Source organism: Homo sapiens, chromosome 1, assembly GCF_000001405.40.
Source record: "Homo sapiens chromosome 1, GRCh38.p14 Primary Assembly".
NCBI classification, from domain to species: Eukaryota; Metazoa; Chordata; class Mammalia; order Primates; family Hominidae; genus Homo; species Homo sapiens.
The window spans coordinates 19,130,838-19,143,504 of record NC_000001.11 but is presented as its reverse complement, the minus strand read 5'-3'; the positions used below and the strand labels follow the sequence as shown (position 1 = coordinate 19,143,504).

General features: G+C 39.9%; 1 protein-coding gene across 50 annotated transcripts in view, besides 1 other annotated feature; it reads left to right on the top strand.

Moving 5' to 3' along the window:
• UBR4 (ubiquitin protein ligase E3 component n-recognin 4) overlaps window positions 1-12,667 on the top strand; it is a 135,757-nt gene that overhangs the window by 66,762 nt on the left and 56,328 nt on the right. For 16 of the 50 annotated variants that reach the window (XM_047416510.1, NM_020765.3, XM_047416481.1 and 13 more), the window contains 5 exons: window positions 1,728-1,858; window positions 1,981-2,158; window positions 2,613-2,717; window positions 4,285-4,422; window positions 5,324-5,498. In XM_047416510.1, the coding sequence (XP_047272466.1) occupies window positions 1,728-1,858; window positions 1,981-2,158; window positions 2,613-2,717; window positions 4,285-4,422; window positions 5,324-5,498 (727 nt within the window). The remainder of the gene's footprint in view (window positions 1-1,727; window positions 1,859-1,980; window positions 2,159-2,612; window positions 2,718-4,284; window positions 4,423-5,323; window positions 5,499-12,667) is intronic. The other 34 variants (XM_047416516.1, XM_017000828.3, XM_047416484.1 and 31 more) reach the window with 5 other exon arrangements.
• Window positions 3,383-4,132: an enhancer, noted in NCBI's record as "NANOG-H3K4me1 hESC enhancer chr1:19465867-19466616 (GRCh37/hg19 assembly coordinates)". NCBI's record gives its function as "activates a minimal SCP1, AML or CMV promoter by ChIP-STARR-seq in naive H9 embryonic stem cells {active_cell/tissue: H9 hESC(naive)}" and the evidence as "EXISTENCE:reporter gene assay evidence [ECO:0000049][PMID:30033119]".

Below are 12,667 nucleotides of genomic sequence, written 5' to 3'. Positions count from 1 at the left end.
AGGAATTTCCCTCACAATACACAGTACACAATACACAATACACAATACAGTCAAGGGCATAACATTTTACGATTCAGTAAAAGCAATTCTAAAAGGTGTCTGAATAACAGAATTATATAATTCTGGTTACTTGGCTTGATTTAGAAGTAAATTTCAAATGAAAGTCACTATGTACTTTTAAATTTTCTTTCTTTCTTTCTTTCTTTCTTTCTTTCTTTCTTTCTTTCTTTCTTTCTTTCTTTCTTCCTTCCTTCCTTCCTTCCTTCCTGCCTTCCTTCCTTCCTTCCTTTCTTTCCTTCCTTCCTTCCTTCCTTTCTTTCTTTTTTCTTCCTTCCTTCCTTTCCTTTCCCTTCCTTCTTTCTTTTCTTTTCTTTTTTTCTTTTCTCTTTCTTTCTTTCTCTCTCTCTCTCGTCTTTTTTCAGAGTCTCACTGTGTCACCAAGGCTAGAGTGCAATGGTGCCATCTCAGCTCACTGCAATCTCTGCCTCCCTAGTAGCTGGGATTATAGGCGCGTGCCACCGTGCCCAGCTAATTTTTGTATTTTTAGTAGAGACAGGGTTTCACCATGTTGGCCAAGCTGGTCTCGAACTCCTGACCTCAAATGATCCGCCCGCCTCGGCCTCCCAAAGTGCTAGGATTATAGGCGCGAGCCACTGCTCGGCCTGTACTTTTAAATTTTCTAATAGCAATATTATAAAGAGTAAAAAGTAAAATTGATTTACTAATTATTTAATCCAGTATATCAAATATTATATCTACATCTTGTCAATATAAAAAATTTATTAGTGAAATATTTTGCCTGTTTTGGTACCATTTTGGGAATCCAGAATGTATTTTACACTAGTGGCACATCTCCTTTTAGACAGCCATGTTTTAAGTGCTCAGTAGTCACATGTGGCTGGTGGACAGTGCACATCTAGAGGATTGTACACAACTTTGTGACTTTCAGAAAATCTTCCTTGCATATCATTTATCTTGCCTAAGCTTTTGGGTTAGGCAGCAGTTTGTGGCTCTTTTCCCTAGCAAGAACCTAGAGTGGAGATAGTTTATGTTTCTAACGGACATATTTACAAGCTTTAGCAATCCATCGAGTGGAAGGTGAGGTCTCTATCCTCTTCTGACAATTAGGAGTCTCACCTGGACATCTTCCTTATTAGAAGGCCTTCTCACCTTCACACAAAAGTGGGCACAGGCAGGACCTGCAGTGGTGTCCTTGGTTTCCAGTCAATGGTTTTACACTTCAATTCTGGTTCTTCTCATAGTAATTACGTAGTGTGAAAATCTCACTGACCTAGTTGTTTTAGAAAAAAATAGTGAAATAAATTCTAATCTGCCATGACAGACAAAAGGTAAAGATCCCAATCATATGATTTTTCCTGTCTTATCCAAGGTCTCCTGAGAGTTAGCGTGAGTTTGGGAGGCCTACTGGTTTTAGATCTCTCACCTTTATGGAAATCCCTTTGGAATCCAAGTTTGTTTCCTTCACCAGCTGGAACATTTTATTTTTGTGGGGGGCAAGCTGTCGCAGCCAACTCCATCTTCCCAGATGCTGTAGGTCCAAGAAGTAAGAGAACAAGGCCAGGCATAGCACCCCGGAGTTCTCCCGCTAAAGCCCAGGGTGCTAGCTGGTAGCTTGTCTTGGGTTTTTGTTGCCACCTGACTTATGGCACCATGTGCCAAGGGAGGAAAGCAAGCACCTTCAGGTGACTGGGGTTTCTTTGACTCAGGAGACAAGGATGATGATGACGATGATGATGCAGATGAGAAAATGCAGTCATCAGGGATCCCGAATGGTGGTCACATCCGTCAGGAAAGCCAGGAACAGAGTGAGGTGGACCATGGAGATTTTGAGATGGTGGTGAGTCTCTGGCAGCAGGAGAAGGGGAGGAGGAGCTTCACAACTCTCCTCTAGCTCTTATTCAGTGGACTTCCAAAAGTTACCACTTACCATGGGACACTGACAGAGCTTTCTCTCTGCAGTCTGAGTCGATGGTCCTGGAGACAGCTGAAAATGTCAACAATGGCAACCCCTCTCCCCTGGAGGCCCTGCTGGCAGGCGCAGAGGGCTTCCCCCCCATGCTGGACATCCCACCTGATGCAGATGACGAGACCATGGTTGAACTAGCCATTGCCCTGAGCCTGCAGCAGGACCAACAAGGTAGAAGGCCATGCCAAGAACAAAGCGGCCCATTGGCCTTGCACAGGAAAAGAGGGTTTGGCAGTTACTGATATCCAGCTGACTTAGTTTGTCCCCAGATATGGGGAGAGGTTGATCTGGGTGAGAGCTGTTCAGAGATACAGGTGGAGAGTGAGAGGGATGTGGTGGGAATTTCAGTCTGAGTGCCAATCTCATAGTTTCTGCCAGTTTGGGTTATTTCCTCTTGAATCTTAGATTCCTCCAGCCTGTGTCCTGCCTGAGCTGAAGGAAGCATTCCACCATCTCTGTAACTGAACTTGGTGGGTGGACAGCAGTGGCTGCTAGCTAACTTCCTCTAGGCCAGAGGGGGTCACATGCTGGTGTTTGGAGACTCTTGAGGGCAGCAGGTGGCCAAAGCAGCGCTGTGGATGGGACCTGGAGGGGATGTTGTGCTCACTCTCCACTTGTTTCCCAGGCAGCAGCAGCAGTGCCCTGGGCCTGCAGAGCCTGGGACTGTCCGGCCAGGCACCCAGCTCTTCCTCTCTGGACGCAGGAACCCTCTCTGACACCACAGCATCAGGTAACTGTCCACAGCAAGGAGCACGGCTCAGGGCCCCAGGACCCTCAGGCCTTGTTTCCACTGCTGTGAGAGTGTAATGGGCAGCTGCTTTGACAGGCCATTCTGGACTTCCTGCTTCTGCCTTGGCTTTAGAAAGATGGGTGTGGAGGGTGTAGTGCTGTGGCTCGGCCCCGCCGCGCACAGCTCCGCTTCCTCACACTTTGCATGCTGCCTGGCTTCAGCTACTTCCCCACGGAAAAGCCGAGAGAGCGGCATGCAGGCTGATCAGCTACAGGGCTTCCACTTCAGCTTCCAGCGTTCTTTGTCAGAGTTCTAACATTTTAGACAGTATTAAAAGAGAGACAAGAAATAGAACTCATACCTTTTACCTTTTTTATCTTCATTTGCAAATAAAAGGAGAGCTATAAGAAGCTAGATTATACTTCAGAATTCTTGTTCAGTGTGACCAACCATCAGGATCTGTGAGCTTGAGAGAGAGGGTTTTTATGGACAATTAAAATCTATAGCAAATCTCCAGAACTCATCTTCTCTTTATTTTCAATCTTTTCCCTAATCTGATTAAAAAAAAAAAAATGTTTCCTGAATAGAGAGTTGGACCAAATGGAGATACCTGGTCAACCCCTGAGTAATTTAAGGGTTGATTTATAGTTTTTTAGACTGATGCTTCCTTGTGTTTGTTTTTTTTCTTTTCTTTTGGAAGTTTTAGCCTGGGTAGTTAAGAAAGGGAGAGAGCGGCTGGCCCCACCTGCTGCCATGGCTTGTTGCTTTTCTTAGGTCTCTTTAGTTGCTGTCATTTCAGGCTCTGAGGTTGCTGTTGTGTTGTGCCAGTCGTGTTCCCGCTGTGCTCTGTGGCTGTCTTGGCTTTCCTCCCCCATGTATCTCATCCAGCATTTTCCTCCTGTCTCAGCTCAGCCCTGATCCTGGATGCTGTGGCTGTCTCTGGGGAATTTCCTTGCTTCATTATTAGCATCTGATGAGGATGATTAGGAGGTGTGAAATTTCCCAATGAGCTCCCCTCTGGACCACTTGCTAAAAAAACCAAAACAGGGTTGATTCAAGAGCTCATGCTAAGTGATTTCCTAACATAAGCAAAACTTGACTGATTTCAAAACAAGTCTCATTAAAATTCAGAGTTCTATGCTTTGAATGGTAATGGCTAGTTTCAGATCTCTCAGCAGGTGTCAGTAACACCTAAACAATGGTGACCATGAAGCATTTTAGCTAGAAAACTCAGCGTCCATGTCACAGATTCTTACTGAATCTCTGCACTGTTCTACTTGCACTGTAATGTAAAACAGTGAAGGAAATACCCAGTGAACTGGGTTTTCTTCACTCCTGTCTAAGTACTGTTTGCAATGCACCGTGTATAGTGTTTGTTCCTGTTAGTGATTAACCAGCAAAGCAAATCTCTCCCTTTTTTCTTTGACGACAGGATATATAAACTGCATTGTGTCCTATGCACTATGTGGTTTGATGCTTTCATCCCAAGGAGGGGTTTTTTTTGTTTTTTGTTTGTTTGTTTGTTTGTTTGTTTTTTAACCTGTAACAGCTCTCGTTACTCTCTCAGCTCCAGCCTCAGACGACGAGGGCAGTACAGCAGCGACAGATGGTTCTACCCTTCGGACCTCTCCTGCTGACCACGGTGGTAGTGTGGGCTCGGAGAGCGGGGGCAGTGCAGTGGACTCAGTGGCTGGCGAGCACAGTGGTAATGTGCCATGGCGGGGGTCCTGTCTCCTTGGGCAGAGGGTGGGGACAAAACAGGAATCTCTGCTTGGGTCTTGGGGTTGGTTTTTGCAAAGAAAAGGTATAGAGACTCATTGAAAGTCTTGTGGACTCTCTGAAAGTCTTGTGGAATTCATTTGGCCTCAGTTTTCGAGTTTCAAATGTTTAGTGGCTTAAGCTCAGGGGGTTAGTATTGAAATATTTTACAGATATTTACTAATTATCTGTTAGTGGAAAAAAAGCAATGACATGCGTAAGTCTTTTTTTTCCTCTCTGAAACTGCGATAATATGCATAATTATAAGTCATGATTAGCCTAAAACAGTTATTATGTGACCTTGAAACCCATTATCCTATGGTTTCTCCTCATTTATTTGGGGAAGGGTTTTTTTTTAAGCGATCTTATTGTTAATGATCTGATGTGTTAACATAGCAGACCATCCCCACAGTCTACTAGCTGATGAGGTGGGGCTCTAGAATGAGGGAACATGACAAAGCCATTTTGGTTTGACCTTCCATATCAGTCTGTGGTTAGCAACTGGATACAATTTTTACAGAGGAGATGAAGAGCAGCTGATAATTTCTAGATTCCCCTATCAGTGTATGTTTCCTCTGAAGTATGAGATAGAAATGTATTAGCATCTGAGATTAAGATCATTCATATAGGTGGGTCTTACATACTGGGGAAGGGTGAATGGCTACTGTGAGAGTGATTTAACATAGTGCTGTGGGGTCTTACTTAGCTTTACATATAAGACAAAAATGCTACCAGTTATTGTCTAATGCTGTCAGTTACTGTCTTAACTATTGCTGCTGCTTTAGAATGCACTGGGTTCCTTCATGCTTTGGGAGTTGATTTGTGCTTTTTAAACCATTTCCCTCTAGTATCTGGCCGGAGCAGTGCTTATGGCGATGCTACAGCTGAGGGGCATCCGGCTGGACCAGGAAGTGTCAGCTCAAGCACTGGAGCCATCAGCACCACCACTGGGCACCAGGAGGGAGATGGCTCCGAGGGAGAAGGAGAAGGAGAAACTGAAGGAGATGTCCACACTAGCAACAGGTCAAGACCTAGTCCTTCACAGTTAAGAGGCTTGCCTATCTGAGACTATTTCAGGAATAGTAGGACTGATCAATTGCAGGAGGTAGAGTAGTGATAACAGCATATTTCTTTTGAAATATAAAGGTGTAAACTTCTGAAACAGTTTAAAGTCTTAGGAAGTGCTCTAGGTCTGTCTTTGTCTTCGAATTATATTAATTACGGAGAGAATAGAAAGTGGTATTTCTCTTAAGGCTCCTCTAAATATCTTAGTAACTGTAAAGTGATTGTCATAAAAACATGTCTTCCTTACTCAAATCTTTCCAGTTTCATCAATATCTGTACACTCAATATATGGCATCCTCTTTACAAATGGCACCGCTGGAGGCTCAACATTTAGGTATACGTATTAGGTGTCCTAGAAGCGCTCCTTGTTCAGCATGTTTGTAAGGTAAAGGAGAAATAAGACATAGCAAATATATGCATATGGCTAGAAATACCAGTGGTGGAGCATTTTGAAATTGAAAGTGGTCTATAAAATCCTAATCCATTTTTGTGTTGGGGTTTAGTACTAGATGGTGAAGTGAATGTATTCTTAACCCAGAGATAACTAGAGAAATAGAAGAAAAACCTGAAAATAAGACTCATGATACAATGTTTGTTGAATTTGTTGAGGTCAGCAGTTGTTACATTAGTGTAAAAATAGTAAGTCAGAATTTTTTTTTTTTTTTTCGAGACTGTCTCCCTCTGTCACCCTGGCTGGAGTGCAGTGGTGTGAACAGTGCTCACTGCAGCCTCAACCTCCCAGGCTCAGGTGATTCTCCTACCTCAGCCTCCCGAGTTGCTGGGACTACAGGTGTGCGGTACCACGCCCGGCCAATTTTTGTATTTTTTGTAGAGATGGAGTTTTGCCCTGTTGCCCAGGCCTGATCTGGAACTCCTGAGCTCAAGTGATCCACTCACCTCCACCTCCCCAAGTGCTGGGATTACAGGTGTGAGCCACTGTACCTGGCCCAGAATTTTGAACTATATGATTTCTATCAGGTAAAAAAAATGGTGCCTGATGCAGTCAGGCATCAGAGACATTTAAAGGGGGCATCAAAGAGTGCCTTCCACGTTCCCCGAATCCTACTGCTTGAACGTAAGCCGCTTAACATCTCTGGATGAATTTCTCTGGTTCTGTTAATAGATGATATTTTGATAGAGTTTTAAAAAAATCTTCTAACATTTTTCTTAATGTGATTTCTAGGTTAATTCCCTTATGTTCAGTTAATTTGGTCTCTATGATTTTTTAAAAAATTTACTTTAAACATTTAAAATCCAGCCTGCTTTTGTCTTCTATTTGATATAGTTGAGTTCATTTATAATTAATGTTGATTGCTAACAGATTTGGAATGGATGTATGTTATTACTTTGTGCTTCTTATTTGTTCTATGTGTGTCCTTTTCTTTGTGGCCTTCTTTTGAGTTGACTTGCTAGTTTTTTCTTCCTGTTTCTTTCCTTTTTTCCTCCAACTCTGCAAGTTTGGAAGTTGTTTACTCTGTTTTTAATCTTTCAGTGGTTATACTATGCATTTTAACATGCATACTTACCTTATCCAAAATGAAATTTAACTAATAGCTGTACCTTCTTCCTGAATAATATGAGGATCTTAGAAGACTTTACTCCTTTGTGTGTTTTAACTTTTTTAATGTCTTCTTAAAGCCTTTAGGATTTTATAGTTTATAAGGTCAGTGTTTGTTAAAGTTTTACTCATATGTTTACCATTTTCTGTGCCTAACATTTCTTTATGCCTCTGAGACCTCCCATCCAGGATTATTTTTTTCCTAAACGATATCATTTAGATTTTCCTTTAGGGAGGTTTTCTGATTTACACTATCTCAGATTTTGTTGGTCTGGAAATACCTTTATTGAACTTACATTTGGGGATGTATTTTTGATGGGTATAAAATTTTGTGTTGGCAGCACCCCCGACCTCCCCAGTTGAAAATGGTATTCTGTTATTTCCTCGCTTTTGTTATTTCCAATGAGAAATCACCTCCTATTTTAACTGTTGCTTCTTTGAAAGTAATGTCTTTACTGCTGCTTTTAAGATCTTCATTTGTCATTATTTTTGCAGTTTTACCAGGATATGTGATTTATTTCTTTACATTTATTTTGCTTAGTAGTCTTTGGGACTCTTGGATGTGTGGGCTAGTGTCTTTTATTTTGGAAAAATCTCATCTATTAATCTTATCAGATATTCTTTTTGTCTTATTTTCTGTTATTTCACTTATTTTCTGGGATTTCAGTTAAATAGATGTGAGACCATCATATTCTCTTCTTCATGTCTCTTAGAATCTCTTTTTCTTTTGTGTTTCTTGTGCTTAATTATTTATAAATTTCTTGATCTATTTGAGTAGCATTAAAAAACATCAAATAGGAATAAATTTGAAAGATATGTAAGACTTCTACTCTGAACACTGTACAATCTAAGAGAAATTAAAGACCTAAATAAGTGAAGAACTACATCATGTTTATGGATTGAAAGACTCATTGTGAAGATAATTGTCTTCAAATTGATATAGAGCCATATAATCCTAGTCATAAATTTTGGCTGGAGTTATGTGTTAAAATTGACAAGTTGATACTAACATTTATGTCGATTAGCCAAGGCAGTATTGAAGAAAATTCATAAATTTAGAGGACTTTATAGAATTATAGCTTATTATAAAGCTATGGTAATTAAGACAGTGTGATAATGGTATGAAGATAGACAAATAGATTAGTGGAATGGGCTGGAGTTCAGAAACAGCTTCTCACATACCTGATCATCTGATTTATAACAAAGGTGACACTTAGGTACAATGGAGGAAAGGAGGGTTTTTTCAATAAATAATAATGGGTCAGCTGGAAACGCACATAGAATAAAATGAATCTTGACTTGATCTTATATGCAAAAATCAGTTGAATTATAGATGTAAATACAAAGAGTAACATTTTATTGCCTTTAAAAGACAAAATGTCTTCATAACTTGGGTTTGGCAAAGATTTATTGAATAGGACACAAAAGCATTAAAAGGAAAAAAAAACCTATAAACTGGACTATATTCTCAGCAGCTATTCATTTTCTCCTCCCCTCTTCTCAGTATTAAGATTTCAGTTAGGTAGTTTTCCTTATAGGCTCCTAGGCTAGAGTGGGGTCGGGGGTGCAGGTGCAGGGAAGAGTGTGAAGGGAAGTCATGTATTACAGTTTACTTTTAAAATGAGGGTATAGCCTTCTGTGGTTCTTCTGTGAGGTTCTCTTTGAAGACCTTCCCCACTGTCCACAGAGGAGGTCTAAAGAAAAAAAAAAAAATGAAGACCTTCCCCACTTGAGGAAGATCCTTTGCTTTTATTTCTATTCCAAATGCCCTGTGAGGTCCTGGCAGCCAGAAGGTCAAGTTGCCTTCAGAACATCTTGGCCTTAACTTTTCAAATTTCAGATTTCCTAAACTTTGTCTCTGAGTTCTGCTTACATCTTTGGCCAGTAACTTTTTAATTGCTAGTGAGCTCATTATTACTTTTATTTTGACTATGTATCTGATAATCTTTCTTAGTTTACTTATTCTTGTTGTTTCTTGTTTTGTTTTCTTTTAAGACAGTCTCACCTGCCCAGGCTGGTATGCACAATCATAGCTAACTGCAACCTTGAATGCCTAGGCTCAAGGACTCCTCTTGCCTCAGCCTTCTGAGTAGCTAGGCACATGCCACCATGCCCAGCTATTTTTATTTATTTTTATTTATTTATTTATTTTTGAGACAGAGTCTCACTCTGTTGCCCAGGCTGGTGTGCAGTGGCACAATCATAGCTGATTGCAACTTCAAATGCCTAGGCTCAAGGAATCCTCCTGCCTGAGTAGCTAGGTGCTTGCCACCATGCCCAGCTGTTTTTAAATTTTTTTTTTTTTTTTTTTTTTTTTTTTAGAGACAGAGTCTCACTCTCTTGCCCAGGCTGGAGTGCAGTGGTACAATCTCAGCTCACTGCAATCTCCAGTTCCCAGGTTCAAGCAATTCTCAAGCCTCAGCCTCCTGAGTAGCTGGGATTACAGGCATGTGCCACCACACCTGGCACCCAGCTAATTATTGTATTTTTAGTAGAGACAGAGTTTTGTCATGTTGACGAGGCTGGTCTTGAACCCCCAACCTCAGGTGATCCACCCACCTTGGCCTCCCAAAGTGCTGGGATAACAGGTGTGAGCCACCGTACCCAGCCTAGTTTTTTTTTTTGTTGAGACAGCATCTCACTATTGCCCAAGCTGGTTTTGAACTCCTGGCCTCAAGTGATCCTCCTGCCTCAGCCTCCCAGTGTTGGGATTACATGTGTGAGCCACTGCACCCAGCTCATTTATTTATTCTAATGATAGATTCTAGTGGATTTTCTGTATCCACAATCTTATCACCTGCAAATAACAGTGTAACTTTTTTCGTTCCAATCTTTATACTTTTTAATTTTCTTTTCTTGCCTTATTGCGTTGGCTAAGACCTCTTGTACAATGTTGAAAGAAGTGATGATGATGAACATTATCTCATTCCCAAACTCAGGGTGTAAAGGTTCAATACTTTCTCATTAAGTATGATGTTAGCACAAGGGTTTTTTATGGATATTTATCAGATTAAGGAGATTTTGTTCCTAGTTTGCTGGGAGATTTTTATCTTAAATGGGTTTTTCAAGATTTCCAGTTTCTTGTGTTTCATGTATTGAATCACTTATATGGTTTTTCTTCTTTATTTTGTTTAAGGTTATAGATTACGTTAATTGATTTTTCTATTATTAAGCCTATTTAGTCATGATGTATTTTCCTTTATATCATGTGACCTGATTTGCTAATTTTTAGTTTAGGCTTAAAATTTTTCTTTGAGATGTCTTTGTCAGGGATTGGTATTCACATTATTCTGGCGTCATAAAATAAGTCAGGGCATGATCCCCTTTTCTCTTGCTCTAGAAGAGTTTGTATAAGATTAGTATTATTTCTTCCATAAATTCTTAGAGAAGTTCACCAGTCAGTGAAGTAATCTGAGTCTGGACTTTATTTAAGGGAAGATTTAAAATTAGGTGTATTCTTTAAATGCTAGAGAATTATTTTTATTTATTTTGGTTTCAATTTTGGTATATCGTATTTTACAAGGAATTTGTTGATTTTATTAAAGTTGTCAGTTTTACTGGCGTGAGCCTGTTCATATATTTTTCTCTCATCTTTTTAATGTCTTGACAATCTGTAGTGATTTGCTTTTTTTCATTTCTGACAATAGTAACTTATTCTTTGTCAGTCTTGCTCTAGGGGTTATCAACTTTATTTGAAAGAATTGGCTTTTGGTTCTGGTTTTTTTCTGTTGTATGTCTGCTTTCTATTCCTGCTTTTTATTATTTCCTTTCTTTTACTTACTTTTTTTTTTTTTTTTTTTTACCATTTTTTACTTTTTTTTTGTTGTTATTGTTCTATTGTTCCTGTTCTATTTCTGGCTCATGAGATACAAACCTAAATCATTTAATCATATGTATTTTAAACCTACTTTAAAAATACATATTCAGCCAGGTCCAGTGGCTCACACCTGTAATCCCATCACTTTGGGAGGCCGAGGCAGGCTGATCACTTGAGGCCAGGAGTTCAAAACCAGCCTGCTCAACATAGCAAAACCCTGTCTCTACTAAAAATATAAAAATTAGCCTTGTGTGGTGGCGTGCACCTGTAATCCCAGCTACTTGGGAGGCTGAGATAGGAGAATCACTTGAATGTGGGAGGTGGAGGTTGCTATGAGCCGAGATCACGCCACTGCACTCCAGCCTGGGTGACAGAGTGAGACTCTGTCTCAAAAAAACAAACAAACAAAAAACCATATTTGAAGCAATATATTTTTCTCTAAAATTCCATCTTAATCTTGCTTTGGCTGCAGCTCACATATTTTGATAATGTTGTGTTTTGATAATGCTGTATTTTCATTGCTATTCAATTCAAATTATTTTCTAAATTCTGTTGTAATTTAGTCTTTGGCCCATGGGATATTTAAAAGTATGTTACTAAATTTCTAAACATTTGGGAATTTTCTAGTTATCTTTTTGTTATTGGTTTATATTTTAATTTTACCATGGTTGGGAACATACTGGGTGTTTGTAGATTTTTTTGTTTGTTTGTTTTTTCAGACGTAGTTTCACTCTTGTTGCCCAGGCTGGAGTGCATTGGCATGATCTTGGCTCACTACAACCTCTGCCGCCCGGGTTCAAGCGATTCTCCTGCCTCAGCCTCCCAAATAGCTAGGATTACAGGCATGCGTGACCACGCCCGGCTAATTTTGTATTTTTAGTAGAGATGGGGTTTCTCCATGTTGGTCAGGCTGGTCTTGAACTTTTGACCTCAGATGATCTGCCCACCTTGGCCTCCCAAAGTGCTAGGATTACAGGCATGAGCCACCACGCCCAGTGTATTTTAGATTTTTTTTGAAATCTCTTGAGACTCATCACTGCTTCTAAAATGGTGTTATATCTTAGGATTTTCATTTGTTTTTAGGAGTAGGGTGAATTTAGGTAACCTAGCCATATTGACAATGGAATTCTCTATAGTGGTTTTAAATTAACCTTTTTTCATGAATAAGTTAATTAAATAATTGGTTAATGAATTATTTTTAAAAATTTTGGTTTTATTTTCAGTTTTTGCTTGGTTGAAACATGAATTATTTTAAATAAAACAGAATTTTACTTTAAGTCACTAAAGAAAAGGAAACTGCAGTTTTTGGTGCTGTGTTTATTTTTTTTTTTTTTTTTTTTTTTTTTAAGTTTCAAGAGTACTGTGTAAGAGTTTGAAAATAGGTTGGGTATGATGACTTAAACCTGTAATCCCAGCACTTTGGGAGGCTGAAGTGGGAGGATCTTTTGAGCCTAGGAGTTTGAGATCAGCCTGGGCAACATAGGGAGACCCTGTCTCTACAAAAAATAAAAAAATTAGCCTGGCATGATGGCATGCGCCAGTGGTACCAGCTACTCAGGAGGCTGAGGTGGGAGGATCTCTTGAGCCCAGGAAGTCAAGACTGCACGGAGCTGTGATTGTGCCACTGCACTCCAGCCTGGGCAACAGAGTGTCCCAGGCTCAAAAAAAAAATAACAAAATGAATGAATGAATGATGTTTGAAAATACTCTGCTGTGATCTTGGTCCAAGTCTAGACTCTGCTCATTTTGTTG